This window comes from Homo sapiens, chromosome 5 (genome assembly GCF_000001405.40).
Source record: "Homo sapiens chromosome 5, GRCh38.p14 Primary Assembly".
In the NCBI taxonomy this organism is placed as follows: Eukaryota; Metazoa; Chordata; class Mammalia; order Primates; family Hominidae; genus Homo; species Homo sapiens.
Window position 1 is genome coordinate 70,714,451 of NC_000005.10, and position 17,282 is coordinate 70,731,732.

General features: G+C 36.8%; 1 long non-coding RNA gene and 1 pseudogene across 6 annotated transcripts in view, besides 1 other annotated feature; one reads left to right on the forward strand and one right to left on the reverse strand.

Annotated features, from left to right (window-relative positions):
* Nucleotides 1–5,076, reverse strand: part of LOC107986355 (uncharacterized) — a 102,717-nt gene extending 97,641 nt beyond the window's left edge. For all 5 annotated transcript variants that reach the window (XR_001742421.3, XR_001742420.3, XR_001742423.2 and 2 more), the window contains exon 1: nt 4,746–5,076. This is a non-coding gene — a long non-coding RNA (uncharacterized LOC107986355). The remainder of the gene's footprint in view (nt 1–4,745) is intronic.
* Nucleotides 4,637–5,453: an enhancer, noted in NCBI's record as "OCT4-NANOG-H3K27ac hESC enhancer chr5:70014914-70015730 (GRCh37/hg19 assembly coordinates)". NCBI's record gives its function as "activates a minimal SCP1, AML or CMV promoter by ChIP-STARR-seq in primed H9 embryonic stem cells {active_cell/tissue: H9 hESC(primed)}" and the evidence as "EXISTENCE:reporter gene assay evidence [ECO:0000049][PMID:30033119]".
* GUSBP16 (GUSB pseudogene 16) overlaps nt 5,339–17,282 on the forward strand; it is a 153,001-nt pseudogene continuing 141,057 nt past the window's right edge. The window contains exon 1 of the transcript NR_146391.1: nt 5,339–5,583. The product of NR_146391.1 is annotated as a GUSB pseudogene 16 (transcript). The remainder of the gene's footprint in view (nt 5,584–17,282) is intronic.

Sequence of the window (17,282 nt, forward strand, 5' to 3'; positions counted from 1 at the left end):
GATATAAGTTTATTTAAAGAACTGGCACATTTATGATTTTAAGGCTTTTTCAAGAGCATGGAATTTCTTTCCCCGTGCTCAAGTCCAAATTTGTGCCATTCAGAAGTGTTTTCTAGTTTTTTTTATATATAGGTTTTAAACATTTCTGGTTAAGTTTATGCCCTCACATTTTATTTTAGTTTGGTTAATGACGTTTTACATGTGTGAGTTCCCTCAATTATTTCTTTTAAATGTTCTGATTCAATAGGAACACTCTCCTTAGTATCCTTAACAGAAATGATTCTTGTTTATAGAATTGCTAAATAAGTAAAGAAATTTTAAGTTAAATCATGGCAAGGAGTTATAATTATACTAAGCTTTTTTGTTCCTAGAGGTTTTGGCTCACTCATATGGTAATCTATATGAAAATTTTTCTGTGATATCTAATATTAGAAAGATCCTCAGTGATAGAATAGTGTTTCTTCCTAGCTGATTCATACATCTTTCTCTGCCAACATTTTGTTTGTTGAAGTGTTCCCCAACATATGACTCATTGCTTACTAAATCCCTATTGAGCAGCCAAAGCCCTGGTGACTAATTATGTCATTAATTTGGGAAAGTCAGAGACAATAAGACTGTCAGTTGAAACTTTGTAGGAGGTAAAAAAGTCACTGCTGTCAGCTGCAAAGATCCTTAAAACGGTCTTCAGTAAAGTCAAATTTTGTGACAAGAATTATTGCATCAAAGTCGGGGAAATACCTCTTAGATCAAATAAGATACATTGAAAAGCCAAAAATTATTTTTATCTCACTTTGGGTTCTCATAAGGTCTACCCACTGTTACTTGGATATGAGACTTAACAAATGGAAAAGAAGACAGGGGTACTGTCACACTGTATTTTCCTATGGCCTAATGACCACAATGGTTGATGAACTGCAGTAAAGTTTCTATAATATTTTCCATCTATTCATTTGCTCAATCACCTTGTAATGGTTATGTTGGTTAATTCCAGTCTTTCATGGGTAAGCAACAAAATGAGACTTAATTTGAAATATCCAGTATTTTTCTATTCTTACAAATAATTTTCAGGATCAATGCACTGAGGATTAGGAATGGCAATGTGTATTACTACTCTGATACCAACTATATCCAATCTAATGTTGGAATTTGTTTGACAAAGTGTTGTGTATTTGAAAACAGGCAGCACTGAATAAAAAGAATATGGGCAAAAGAAAAATGGAAGTGTTTTGAATAGAAGTCTAAAATATTTATTGATCAATGCTGAACTGAGTAAGCAGGAGATGCCTGTACATAAATGACATTATCCTGATCTAGTAACAGGGAGAAGCAGAATATCTGAAAGCTGTTTATTAATTTGATAATAATAAGATTAGAAACATGCAAATCAAGATTAATAGTATTCACTTCTAATTGGGTTTAGGTAGACTTTGACTATTTTGCTTCTGATGTTCTTATATTTTTAATTTTCTATAATGATCATATAACATATAATATTTTCATAATATTAAACATTTTAGAATTAAACTCCATTAGAGTGTGTCTTTCCTAAAGTAATATAAACATCCAATCTTGTCCTTAACAATTCTGTTCTCAAACATTAGCCTATTCCCTCAAGCCAGTGTTGCTTTCGACCCATATTGTCCATCATTTCAATTTATCTCAAAGTTTTTTATTGCAACAATTAAATGCTTTGAATGATACCCAAGGCATAGTTCTATTTCAACAAAATTTCAAAGTTAATAGTTACATCAAATTTTGTTGGTGCTCATTGAATTTGGTTATTAAAACCATAAGTAGTATGTTTTATGCTGACTGAGGGAGATAAAAGTAGTAATGTTTAATATTCAAACTGTGATGACTGAAAAAAAAAATGAGGCCTGTAAAATCTTATTTAATGTCAAATTTTAATTAAACAGGCTTAGCAGACCAAAATTAAAATCTCAATTATTTTTAAATTATTAATGACAGACAACTAGATTGAGTGAACACTGGCATCTCTTTTCAAATAACTTAGTTTAGTGGATGAGTTAAACATAAACTAGTTATTATAATGCAGCGAAGTATGTGAAAAATTTAATTTGAACCCTACTTAGCTTAAAATCCTGACATTCTAGGATGCAAGTCCTGCAAACTTTCCATATGTAATCAACAATTTTCTAAACATGCATGCTGTATCTCTCCTGTGTGACTTTGCATACATCATTCCCACATTCTAGATCATCCCGACCCACCTTAAGTGACTGCTTTTGCATAATCTCCCTTAAAATTCTAACTCAAGCACTGCATCTTTTGAGTCCTTCCCTAACATCTTAACATCTTCCTTCTTTCATTCATCATTAACTATAGTTAGTTATTATAGCACCTGTTAGCACTGTAAAATTATGTGTGTTACACAAGTACAACATGCAGACTAAGGTCGTGTATTACCTAGCCTCATACCAGCGTCACCTAGAACAGCAAAAATGTATGCAGATTAATCACAATATATTTGGATGTACAAAACATATTGAGAGCAAAATATGATGGAAATTTAGGTGATGCTCTTTGAGCATTGCTTCCATTTTCCAATAATGTAACCAGGAATCACTGTTCATGTAATTAAAGAACAATAAGTCTATGTGAATCAAAATATACATATACATGCAAATGTTAAACCTCAGTAGGAAGAGGCCCATTCTCTTGCTTGCTGATATATATATATATATATATACACACACACACACACACACACACACACACACACACATATGTATGTTGTGTGTATATGTATATACACACAACAATCTATAGGCTTGCCTTTTAAAATAGTATAAGCAACAAATTTTAAGAGAAACAATAATGAGTGTGTAAAACATTAGATATGTGTATGTACCTTTGCTATTATTTGTGGAAATGGGGCTATAAAATAAGCTCCTTTATTTTCTTTTGTAAAACATTTCTTTAATATGAAGTAATGCAATACGTATTTATGTTCTAAGTGTTAATTTCCTTGGATATAAAATAATATCTTGTTCCTTTGATTCTCTTACATATAAGTGTATTTACTCAGATATTACTCCAAATACACCAGATATATTCAAAGTTGAAAAAATATATACTTTGGAATGTATTATCATCTTATGTCACATGAAGAAATCAAAATCTCTGGCATCCAAGTGCATTCCAGCCTGAAAAAAATTATGCAATTGTGAATTTAACAGAAAGCAAATTGCTCACATATGGAGTCAACGTGAAGCTATATCAATATTTATTAAAAGTTTATATATTACTTTTGATCCCCTGGAGAGAAATACAAAATTCAAATAATTATTCTATTTTTATATCCCAATTTGTAATTATGAAACTCTAGCATTTTAATTTTTCTCTTTCAAGTTTACCTGAAGCTTCACAAAATTCTGTGAGGAATCTATTATAACAGGTATTTTGCTTATTTCCACACAAACAGAAGGAAATGTGTATTTTCTATGCCCTGAAGAATTTACTCTTTTCTGTAAATGACATATGGTAGTTAATTCTTTTTGGTAATAAAATATTCCTGTTTTTAGGCCGAACAGCCTTTTCATTTAAATTCAGGGCAACATATCAAAGCTTTGCCGTAATAATACAGAGTAATCGACTAAAGTAATATAGAATTTAAATAACAAAGAGTTTAAACAATTTAATATGTCTTCTATTAATTTCAAACTGAAATTTTACAGAAATTATTTGGAATATGCTGCCAGAGTACACACACACACACACACACACACATCACACGCTCACATCACACACTCACACCCAGCTAAAGGAAATTACCACAGCTATAATGATTTCATTAAATATCTGAAATTAAAGTTTCTTTTGGATTTTCAGCTGAAGCTCATAGTAAATAAAAGTAATATGATCATTGTTGCATACTGTGAATCAACAGCACCCAGAAACCTTCGACTTTCTATATTTACACAGCTTAATTATCCGAACTGAAACCTGAGGCCATCTGTGTCAACATGATTTCACAATTCATTCCAGAAAATTATTTTTCAGGAAAGTAAGGCTGCAAACCAATAAATAACTTATTGTTTGCTTCAGGAAATTTCTGCAAATCAATTTATGTCAGTAAGCAACTCTCCTCTGGGCCAACAGATTGCTCACCTGGGCAGGTAGCAGCTTGTGTCAATTAACAGTTTACTTATGAAGACTTCTGTCATGGCCCTTAACTCACAGTGTCCCCCAATCCTAAACTCTATGTCCTGAACATTACCTATTCTTATCAGTCATTGGTCTTGAAAGGCCCCGGGCAACCATTTGAGCCCAGACTTCAATACTCTATCAATACCACCTTATCATCTACTTTTCTAACATGACCCCTCAAGGTGGTGACCCCACTTACAGTCGTCTTTTATTGAATTTAGCTTTCCCTAATCAACATGCTAGTCTATTGGATGCAGTGTCAGAGGCAAAAATCACAGAGGTTCTGAAAGCATCAGCCCATGGTTTTCTAAACATCATGGTTCAAGACCCTTAACACGAAACAGAAAGTTTCCCCGAGGCGCCGTAAACAACCCATTTGGGCGCTTCCCTGATAATTATAGTGAAATCTGGCATCTAATTTTTTTTGGTGGACTCTCAAATTTTATATTTATGTTTTGATTCCTAGAAATAAAAAATGTTTTTATAAGGAATTCTTTGATCGTTTATGTTTTATTCTTGATAGAAACCTACTACTTTATAACTTCGTTTATGTTTTACTCTTGATAGAAACCTACTACTTTATAACTTCGAACATTATTGATGTTCTTCCTGTATTTCTGAGAGGTGACAGCTTGCTGGCATCCCTCGCTGGCTCTCGGCGCCTCCTCGGCCTCAGCCCACTCTGGCCGCGCTTGAGGAGCCCTTCAGCCCGCAGCTGCACCGTGGGAGCCCCTCTCTGTGCTGGCTGAGGCCTGAGCGGGCTCCCTCTGCTGGCGGGGAGGTGTGGAGGGAGAGGCGCGGGCCGGAACCTGGGCTGCCTGCGGTGCTCGCAGGTCCAGCGCGACTTCCGGGTGGGCGCGGGCTCAGCGCGACTTCCGGGTGGGCGCGGGCTCGGCGCGCCCCGCACTGTTGAGCGGTCGGCTGGCGCCGCCGGCCCTGGGCAGTGAGAGGCTTAGCACCCGGGCCAGCAGCTGCGGAGGGTGCACTGGGTCCTCCAACAGTGATGGCCCGCCGGCGCCGCGCTCGAATTTTCGCTGGGCCTCAGCCACCTCCCCGCGGGGCAAGGGGGCAGGGCTCGGGACCTGCAGCCTGCCATGCTGGAGCCCTCACCCTCCTCCCCGCCCCCGTCCCCTGCCCCCCGCCCCCCGCCCCCCGCCCCCCAACCGCAGGCTCCCGCGCGCCACCCCGAGGGGACGGGCGCCACCTCCTGCTACGCGGCACCCGGTCCCGTCAACCGCCCAACGGCTGAGGAGTGCGGCAGCGCGCCAGAGACTGGCGGGCAGCTCCGCCCGCGGCCGGGATGCACTAGGCAAAGCCAGCTGGGCTCCTGAGTCCGGTGGGTACTTGGAGAACTTACTACGTCTAGCTGGAGGATTGTAAATGCACCAATCAGCATGCTGTGTCTAGCTCAAGGTATGTGAACGCACTAATCAGTGCTCTGTGTCTAGCTAATCTGGTGGGGACTTGGAGAACTTTTGTGTCTAGCTAAAGGATTGTAAACAGACCAAGCAGCTCTCTGTAAAATGAACCCATCAGCTCTCTATGAAATGGACCGATCATCAGGATGTGGGTGGGGTGAGATAAGGGAATAAAAGCAGCTGCCAGAGCCAGCAACAGCAACGTGCTAGGGTCCCTTTCCACAGTGTGGAGGCTTTGTTCTTTTGCTCTTTGCAGTCTTGCTGCTGCTCACTGTTTGGCTCTGCGCAGAGCTGTAACACTCACCGAGAAGGTCTGCAGCTTCACCCAAAGATATTCCAAAGATACAGAAAACTATATAGAGACATTTTGTATAGTTCTAATAGCATATAATCCACAGGTCCCTGATCTATAATATGGGTTTTTTATAAAATTGTTTTTTTGTATGCTATGAGGAATTTTACTTGTTAAAAAGAAGAGGTGGAAAGGCAGAATATGAAAACTATGAAAATGACATAAGAGACTATGAATTAGGTGAGAAACCAGAGAGGTTTAGAAACCTGTAGACATTGTGCATCCCCCAATGCCTTTCCCCTTAAAAAAAATTATATTCTAATCCAGTCCATCAAATAAAGTCTACGTTCATTAGAAACATATTCTCTTGGTTTTTATAATTTCAGTTTTTTTCAGACACAGATAGTGCATATGCAGATTTGTTACTTTTGTACAGTGCACCCTGGTAGTGAGCATAGTACCCAGTAGGTAGTTATTCAGCCCATGCTCCCCTCTTTCCCCCACCCCCGTAGCCTGCAGCATGTCTTGTTCCCATGTTAATGTTCCTGTGTGCTCAGTGTTTAGGTTCCACTTATAAGTGAGAATGTGTGGTATCTGGTTTTCTTTTCCAGCACTAATTTGCTTAGGATTATGTCCTTAGCTCCATCCATGTTGCTGCAAAGGACATAATTTCATTCTTTTTTATGGAGGCATAGTATTCCATAGTGTATATGTACCACATTTTCTTTATCCAATCCACCTTTGATGGGCACCTAGGTTCATTCCATGTCTGTGCTATTGTGAATAACATGCTGATGAACGTACGAGTGCATGTATATTTTTCTGGTAGAATAATTTATTTTCCTTTGAATATATACCCAGTAATGGGAATGCTGGGTCGAAGGGTATCTCTGTTTTAAGTTCTTAGAGAAATCTCCAAAATACTTTCCACAGTACCTGAACCAGTTTACATTTCCATCAACAGTAGTGTATAAGCATTCCCTTTACTCTGCAGCCTGGCCAACATCTAATTTTTTTACTTTTTAATTATAGCTGTTGTGACTGATGTGAGATGGCATCTTACTGTGGTTTTTGCTTGCATTTATTTATTTGATGATTAGTAAGGATGAGTGTTTTTTCATATACTTGAGTGTCTTCTTTTGAGAAAATATCTGTTCATGTCCTTTGCCTTTTCTTGATTTAAATTTTAAGTTCTGGGGTACATGTGCAGGAAGCGCAGTTTTGTTACATAGATAAACGTGTGTGGTGGTGGTTTGCTGCACCTATCAACCCATCACCTAGGTATTAAGCCCAGCATGCATTAGCTATTTTTCCTGATGCTCTCCCTCTCCTCAACCCCCTACAGAAAATTATAGTGTGTGTTGTGTGTTGTTCCCCATTGTGTGTTGTTCCCCTCCCTGTGTCCATGTGTTCCCATTGTTCAGCTCCCACTTATAAGTGAGAAGATGCGGAGTTTGATTTTCTGCTCCTGTATTAGCTTTGCCCTTTTTAACTGGGGTTGTTTTATGCTTGTCATTTTTTCTTCCTTATGGATTTGTTATATTAGATCTTTATCAGATGCATAGTTTGCAAATATTTTCTCCCATTCTGTAAGTTGTCTGTTTACTCTGTGGATAGTTTCTATTGCTGTGCAGAAGCTTTTTAGTTTGATTGACTTTCACTTGTCAGTTTCGTTTTTGTTGCAATTGTTTTTAGAAACTTAGCCAAAAATTATTTGCCAAGGCCAATGTCGAGAAAAATATTTCCTAGGTTTTGTTTTAGAGTTTTCATAATCTGAAGTCTTACATTTTAACCTTTAATCCATCTTGAATTAATTTGTGTGTATGGTGGAAGGTAAGCATCCAGTTTCACTCTTCTGCTTATGGCTAGCGAATTATCCCAGCACCATTTATTGAATAGGGTGCCTTTTCCCCATTGTTTGTTTTTGTTGGCCTTGTCCACGATCCAGATGGTGGTAAGTGTGCAGCTTTATTTTTGAGTGTTCTATTCTGTTCCATTGGCTTAAGTGTCTGCTTTTGTAACAGTATCATGGTTAGTGTACACTTATAGTATAGCTGGAAATTGGGTAGTATGACGCCTCTCTGGCTTTATTATTTTTGCTCAGAATTGCTTTGGCCATTCTGGCTTTTGGGGGTGTTCCATATAAATTTAGAATAGTTTTTTCTAATTCTGTGAAGAATGATGTTGGTAGTTTCATGGAGATAGCCTTGAATCTACAAGTTGCTTTGGGCAGTGTGGCCATTTTAACATATTGATTCTTTTAATCTGTAAACATGGAATGTTATTCCATTTATTTGTGTTATCAAAATCTCCTTCCTTCCTTCCTTCCTTCCTTCCTTCCTTCCTTCCTTCCTTCCTTCCCTCCCTCCCTCCCTCCCTCCCTCCCTTCCTCCCTTCCTTCCCTCCCTCCCTCCCTTCCTCCCTTCCTTCCATCCTTCCTTCCTTTTCTTATTTCCTTCCTTTTTTGAGACAGAGTCTCACCCTTTCACCCAGGCTGGAATGCAGTGGAGTTATTATAGCTCACTGCAGGCTTGAACTCCTGGCCTCAAGCCGTCAGGGTAGTTAGGACTACAGGCATGTGCCACCATGCCTCGCTATTTAAAAAAAAAAAAAAAATTTGTATAGATGAGGTTCCACTATGTTGCCTAGGTTGGTCTCAAAACTCCTGGGTCCAAGCGATATACCTGCCTCGGCCTCCCAAAGGCATGAACCACTGCATCCAGCTTCAGATTTCAGCTGTGTTTTGTAATTCTCCTTGTGGAGATCGTTCACATCTTAGGTTAGTTGTATTTGCAGGGATTTTATTTTCATCCTAGGTGTTGTAAATATGATTGTGTTCTTAATTTAACTCTCAACCTGGATGTTGTTGTTGTATAGAAATGCTACTAATTGTTGTACATTGATTTTGTATCCTGAAACCTTGCTAAAATCCTTTATCATTTCTAGTAGACTTTTGTTGAAGTCTTTAAGGTTTTTTAGGTATAGAAGGATATTGTTGGGTGAAGACAGATAGTTTGCCTTAATCTTTACTTCCTATTTGGGTGCTTTTCTCTTTTTCTGTTGCAAGATTGCTCTGACTAGGATTTCTGGTACTATGTTGAATAGGAGTGGTAAGAGTGGATGTCCTTGGCTTGTTTCATTTCTAAAGGAGAATGCTTTCAGCTTTTGCCCATTGAGTATTATATTGGCTGTGGGTTTGTTGTAGATAGCTCTTTTTTATTTTGAAGTATGCTTATTTGAAGCCTCAACTGTTGAGGGTTTTTTTTTGTTTTGTTTTTTCATGAAGGGACACTGGATTTAATTGAAAGCTTTTCCGGCATCCGTTGAGATGATCATATGGTTTTTGATTTAATTCTGTTTATCTGGTGAATCACATTTATTGATTTGCATATGTTGAACCAGCCATGCATCCCAGGAATAAAGCCTGTATTGTCATAGTAGATTAATTTTTTGATATGCTGCTGATGGATTCAGTTTGCTAGTACTTTGTTGAGAATTTTTGAGTCTATGTTCGTCAACAGTGGTCACCTGAATGTTCTTTTTTTTTGCGTCTCTGCCAGGTTTTGGTATTAAGCTGCTTCTGGCTTCACAGCGTGAGTTAGGAAGGAGTACGTTCTCTTCAACTTTTCTGGAATAGTTTCAGTAGAATTGTACTAGTTCTTCGTTATACTTCCGGTAGAATTTTGCTGTGAATCCATATAGTCCAGGGCTTTTTGGCTTGGTAGATTTTTTATTACTTATTCAATTTCAGAGCTTCATATTGGTCTCTTCAGTATTTCAGTATCTTCCTGATTCAATCTTGGAAGATTGCCTGTTTTCAGAAATTTATCCATTTCCTCTAGATTTTCTAATTTTTGTGTCTAGAGTTATTCCTAGTATTCTCTGAGGATTATTTTGTATGTCTGTGGGACCATTTTTAATGTCGTTTTTGTCATTCTGATTTATATATTTAGATCTTCTCTTTTTTTTCTTTGTTTATCTAGCTAAAGGTCTATCAATCTCTTTTTTTAAATCAACTCTTGGTTTCATTAATCTTTTGTATGGATTTTTGCATCTCAATTTCATTCAGATCTTCTCTATTTTAGTTGTTTCTTTTCATTCCTAGCGTTGATGTAGGGTTGTTCTTTTTTTTTTCTTCCCTAGTTCCTTTAGGTGTAGTGTTAGATTGTTAATTTGAAGTATTTCTAACTTTATGATAAAGGCATTTAAACGTTCCTCTTAACACTGATTTAGCTGCATCCCAGAGATTTTGGTAATTTGTGTTCCCATTTTCATTAATTTCACTTTCTTAAAATTTCTCCCTTAATTTTGATTTTCACACAGAAGTTATTCAGGAGAAAGTTGTTTAATTTTCATCTATTTGTGTAGTGTTGAGAGATGTTGGTATTTATTTATATTTTGATTACATTGAGATCTAAGAGTGTGCTTGATATGATTTCATTTTTTAAAATTTATCCAGACTTGCTTTATGACCAAGCATGTGGTCAATGTTAGAATATGTTCCCTGTGCAGATGAGAAGAATGTATATTCTGTGGTTATTGAGTGGAGTGTTCTGTAGATGTCTTATTAGGTCCAGATGGTCAAGGGTGAAGTTTAAGTACACAGTTTCTTCCTTAGTTATCTGCTTTGATGATCCAGTGCTGCCAGCGGGGGTGTTGAAGTCTCCTACAGTTATTGGGTGGTCGTCTGTCTTTTTGTAGTCCAAAAAGAACTTGTTTTATGAATCTGGGTGCTCCATGTTGGGTGCATTTATATTTAGGGTACTTAAGTATTCTTGTTTGATCATATACTTTCTCATGACGTAATGCTCTTCATTCTTCAATTGTTCTTTTTAATTTTGATTAAAGTCTGTTTTATCTGATATAAGAATAGTTACTCCTGCTTTTTTGTTATCATTTGCATGGCAGATTTTCTCCATCCCCTTATTTTGGGCCAGTGGCTGTCATTACATATGAGGTGAGTCTCTTGAAGACTGCAGATGGTGAGCCTTGCATTTTTATCCAGTTTGCCATTGTATGTCATTTAAGTGGGGGTGTTTAGCCTATTTACATTTATGGTTAATGTTGATACATGAGATTTTGATCCTATCATCACGTTTGTAGCTGGTTTTTAGGTAGACTTGATTGTGTAGATACTTTATAGTGCCTGTGAGCTATGTACTTAAGTGGGTTTTTGTGGTAGCAGGTGTCATTCTTTTTACTCAATGTATAGCACTCCCTTAAGGACCTTTCATAAGGCTGGTCAAGTTGAAATTGATTCCCTCAGTATTTGCTTATCTGAGGAGAAATTTGTTTCTTCTTCACTTAGGAAGTTTAGTTTAGTGAAATATAAAATTATTGCCTGGAATTTATTTTCATTAATGATGTTGGACATAGGCCCTTAATCTCTTCTGGCTTGTAAGGTTTTTGCTGAGATATTTACTACTAGCCTAGTGGAGTTCTTGCTTTATGAAAACATGACCTTTCTCTCTAGCTGCCTTTAAGATTTTTTTTTTCTTTTGTATTTACTTTGGTGAATGTGATGACTGTGTGCCTTAGGGATAGTCACCTTTTATAGTGCCTAGCTGGGTTTGCTGTATTTTTTGGATTTACATGTCACTCTCTCTAGCGAGGTTAGGAAAATTTTCATAGACTCTATTCTCAAATCTATTTTCCAAGTTGCCTTTTCTCTTTGTTTCTCTTCTAGGAATGACAATGAGTCGTAGATTTGGTCTCTTTATATAATTCCATATTTCTTAAAGCTTTGGTTCATTTTCTTTTTTTAATTCTTTTTTAAAATTTTCTTTTGACTCAGTTGATTCAACGAACCAGTCTTTGAGCTCTGAGATTCTTTCCTTAGCTTGGCCTACCTTCTGTTAATATTTCTTACTGTATTATAAAATTCTTATACTGAATTTTTTCTGCTCTAGAAATTCAGTGTGGCTGTTGTTTAAAATGGCAATTTCATCTTTCAGCACTTACTTAGATTGCTTTACTGGATTACTTGGCTAGGGTTTCAACTTTCTCCTTAATGTTCATGAGCTTCCCTGCCATCGAGGTTCTGTATTCTATGTCTGTTGCAATTATTTTAGACTGATTAAGAACCATTGCTTGGTAGCTAGTGGGCTAATTTTGAGGTAAGAGGACACTCTAGCTTTTTGAATTGCCAGAGTTCTTGCACTGATTTTTTCTCTTCTGGTAGGGTTAGTGTTCCTTTAACTGTAGTGTATGTTGAGTATAGGCAATTGGTTTTGTTTCTGGATGCTTTCAAAGGGTCAGGGCTTTCTCTGTCCAGGATTTTTATGTATGAGTAATTCTTGTGTTTGGTTTCACAGGTGTATATGTAGCAGGATAAATTTTGATGTTGTAGTTTGGGATGTGATCCAATGCATAGTGCTTAAGAGTGATGGCCAGTGGCTAGCCTAATACCCAGTGGCATGGCTGTTTTATACTTCCTTTTGTTTGCAGGTGTGCTCTATAGTGGGGGTGGGAGAGATGCCTCCATCACCAGATGTGCTCCTGGGCCCTGGGGGAGTCTCCTGCAATCACTGTGTTTCTTGTGTTAGGTGTTCTAGGCCACAGGTCTCTCTCAGGCAGAGGCCCTTTCCTAGGAGCCATTCTGGGGAACTAGCTGTAGTGTTTGGGTTCCCTGCACAGGCTTCCTCCCTCTTCAGCTCAGCTTCATTGCTGCCTCTGCATCCACTCAGCATTTTCTCTCTCAAGATCTGCCTAAATTACGGTGGTTTACTCCATAATTTGGTATCTCTCAGTGGGGGTGGTGCTTCCTGACCATGTCAAATTGACCATGTATTGTCACAGAATGAAAACCTCTTTGATAGACTTTGTAACATTTTTGAATATTACATTCAGGAGTAAAATCTTACGCAGTGTGATCCCAGCTATCTCTTCACTTTTGAGAATAACCTTAAGTAATTAAAGGATAATTAAATATGTAATTAAAAATTGAAAAATATAACAGCTACACTTCCAGATGTCAACTTCTTTCAGAAAATTTTAAAATCTCTTTAAAGAAAGGTAAATTGAGACCAAAATAGATTAATAGCTTTATAAAAATAAGTGCTCAAGGAGGGTGTTACATGTGAAAATTAAACTTGGAATTTGTCATTTTACCCGTAAAATTACTGAGAGTAATTTCCTTGAAATGGAAATAACTTTACAAATTTTTAATTAACAAAAATGCTGAAATATTACTCCGCTTACCTTTATGTAACCTCTTCCTTGAAAACAACAATTTACTCATCTGGTGTGTGACTCTGATAACCTTCAATCATTCTCTATATCTGACACCATGACTAGTAACTTAGATCTTTAACTAAGCAACCTTTCTTTCCACCTTTGTGATATTATATCTAGTAATTTAATAACAGACAATCTATGTTGCAAATTAAACTTCCAAATTGAATAGTAATTTTCAAATCCCAAGGACCCATTTCTTCTGCCTCAATCTTAATTAGGTCTTAGTTAATAGAAAAATTAACTGGCTGGGTGCGGTGGCTCATGCCTGTAATCCCAGCACTTTGGGAGGCCAAGGTGGGCGGATCACCTGAGGTCTGAAGTTCGAGACCATCCTGGCCAACATGGTGAAACCCCATGTGTACTAAGAACACAAAAAATTGACCGGGTATGGTGGTGGGTGGGTGCCTGTAATCCCAGCTACTCAGGAGGCTAAGGCAGGAGAATCACTTGAACTGGCGGGGTGGAGGATGCAGTGAACCGAGATCCCAGCACTGCGCTGCAGCCTGGGCAGCAACAGTGAAACTCCTCAGAAAAAAAAAAAAAAAAAAAGAAAAAGAAAAAGAAAAAAGAAAATTAACTAAATCAAGCCTAAATAAAACATATTCACAAAGTGGCAGACTTTTTTAATCCAAAAATTTAACTGTATTAATGTCTCATTTATAGAACATTATTTTACAATGAGGTTTTACACATCAATCAGTTGAGTCACTTCTTTTTTTTTTTTGAGATGGAGTCTCGCTCTGTTGCCCAGGCTGGAGTGCAGTGGTGTGACCTCAGCTCACTGCAACCTCCACCTCCTGGGTTCAAGCGATTCTCCTGCCTCAGCATCCTGAGTACAGGCACTACAGGCACGTGAGCAAGAGAAGCTGACAGATTCAAATGTTCACAAACATTTATGTTCTATTTTGATAGATACATAAACTATGTTTCTCATTCTTATATACTTTATATTAGGGCATGGGATTAAAGTCAAAATAGTGGAAAATTAGTAGAAATAACATATTTTATATCCAATTTAGTCTCCAAAATCCCAACATGCACTCTTCTGTATACGTTTTTCAGTATGCTTGACTGGAACGGCCAATTCTACAGTAGTCTTGGAAGCAACATACTGCAGATTAAATACCTTAGTAGCCTATGTTCTTGAATGCGGACATAAAGGAGCAATGCTTTTCCTATCTTAAAAAAACAGTTTATATGAATGAAACTTCTGTTCTGTTTAAGATATTATATGTTGTTGAGTGTAGTTGTCAAAGCAACTAGCACGATTCCAAGTAATATAGAAATCACCAGCTTGAGTTGGGTCTGCCATAACAGCACCTAAAACGTATCCACTAAATTAGTATTAAATGGACAAGTAAACCAAACTCAGAGGGTTGAAATGAAGACTTGTAATACCCAGTGAAAAAAAATTATTGAAACTACCATCTAAAATTAATTGGAAGCTTAATATTACCTCTAGGAAAGAGTGTGGGAAATGAGGAAAGGCAAAAGGTAATGTGTTCATGTTTGTTCTGTTCCATAATCCAAGAAATAGATAAACACAGGCAAAAAAAAAAAAAAAAAAAAAAAGAAAAAAGAAATATCCTGTCTTTAGAGTGGAAAGAAAGTGGATAGAGTTGAGTTGCTAAACCTTAGCATTATTGACATTTTATGCCTGATATTCCTGCATTCTGTGGGAGGTTATTCTTTGCATTGTAGGATATTAATAGTATCTTTAGGCTATACCACCACATACCAGTAGCATCACCACCTAATCATTATAATTCAAAATGTCTCCAGACACTGACAAGTGTTCTATGGAAACAAAGTCATTCCTTGTTGGAAACCACTTGTAAACAAAAAGTCTAGTAATGGTGGAATTATACAGTGACAGAAAAGCTCAGGTTTTTCTGATTAGGTTGAAAAAGCTGCTCAGAAATTAAATCCTACTGTGTTCATAAAAAACAAGGAACCCAGCCCTGAAGCAAAGAACTCATCAGGGAAGTTGTTTTCTCTTTCAAGTCTATGATTTCAAATGACCTTAAAGTGGTCATCTTTACAGTCAGAGAAGCATATGTGTGTTGGGGAGGAGAAAAAAGAAGGAAATGAGGCAGACTTTAGAATTATACCTAGGAAAGAACTGTATGTTTGGTTATAAACTAGATCCAATAAATAAATAAATGGTTTCCACGTAACTACTTGGCAAAGGTACAATAAGCCTATTGTGAGAAAAAAAAATTAAGGCTTAAAATATCCTCAAGCATCCCAAATTGCACTAATCAGTGCAATTGATGAGTCATGCTGAGAAAACACTCATTGTTCTAATTTAAGATGGAGGCATGGAGAATAAGAGAAAATGTAAATTACCTCAGAAAGTAAATCTATGAGCCACAGGGACAATGGACCTTAAAGTTATTTCCACAGGACATGTTTATGGTTTCATCAAATAAATATTTGTACTGCTCAGAAATATTTTTGTCAGTGCTCTGCAGACTTCTTTGTCTTCTGATAGGAGCTTCACCATGGTAACTTAGATTTTACAGATAATTTGTCTTTTGACTTTATAGGACACTAGTCCTCGTTAAGTCATATAGTGGCCTGAGGGAGAGAACTGCACGTCATGAAACATCCTGAACTCTAAGTTGTAGGCAGTAACTGGGCAAAACTTTAAGTTGTTTACAGAGGGAAGAGAAGTGAATTTTTCATATATAAAGAAGTGTGCAAATTGTATTTCATGAGTAGTCTTTTGTCTTCTGGAATGGTGATATATACAAAGTAATCTGGGAAGATACAATTTGGTAATAGTAGATCCTTCGTTAACTTGAATTATTTTTTGCAGGAAAGATGCGTCTTTAGCCAAAATTACTTATGGTAAACTGTTATGTAAGCAAGAAATCACCTTCTACTTGGTTTAAGCTATTCAGTGTACTCTCTAGATAGATATGACACAAAGCTAGCATTATGATACAGTAAACCAAGTGTTAATGTAACTTTATGTTGATTTTGACTACATTCTGAAAATAATAAAAGTCATCTGGTATTTTAGGCTTACGATATGAACTTGATACTATGATAGGTGTCTGAAATGTTTATCTCATTTGATTCTTAGAACAAACTTATATTGTGGGTACTAATACAGTACTGATTTTTTAAATAAGAAAAAGGATTGCAAAAAATGTAAAAAGTCTTATTAAAGAGTACAAAATTCTATCTCCAAATGTGTAATGAATTTTATATAGTCAGTTAATATTTGTTTAGCTCAATAAAGTAATGTTCGGTGTAATAGTTGATTTCTTTAATGTTCATTCAGAATCACATTATCAATTTGAAATTAATTCACCTATTCGAAGAAGTTGCTTCCTCCAATTAAGACAGTATAGTAAGCAAAATAATGGTTTACAAAACAAACAAACCAACAAAAAAAAAACCGCATGTCCTGATTTCTGGAAGCTGTGAATATGTTAACTATCTGGTAAAAGGGGCTTTGCAAGTATTATAATGTTAAGGATGGTAAGATGAAAAAGTGTCCTTTTGAGTTCAGTGTAATCAAATGGGTTTAAACTAGGGAAACATTCTTGGCTAGAAACATAAGGTGGTATGATTTCAAAAGAATGGTCAGAGAGACACAGCATTTCTGGTTTGAACAAATGAAAGACCATAAGCTAACAAATCAGGACAGCCTCTGGAGGCTGGAAAAGTCAAGGAAACTGATTTTCCCCTAAAACCTTCAGAAAGGAACACAACAGTTCTCACTCTTTGATTTTAGCCTCATAAGATGCATTGCAGACATCTGACAAACACAATTGTTTGACACTATATTTGTGCTATTTTAAACCACTAACTTTGTAGTAATTGGCTACAGCAGCAGTAAGAAAATAATGCAGAGTGTTTCTATAATGGAGATAAAAGTATAAACAAGAGGCAAGGATTTCCTTCCTTCACAGTGTTTATAATATACTAAGAAAACAAACATTAAATACACAGGGCCCCAATAGATTATTCCACTTTAATTTTAGCTGGCACTGTGGAAGGAAAATAGAAATTCTAGAATATAGTGAATAGGAATATAACTTATTCTTATGTGGGAAGAAATGCTTATTACTGAATACTATTTGGGCTGAAAATAAATGCACTGTAGTTACAGTAAGTACAGTAAAAAAGGTAGTTTGCTATAAGGGAACAGA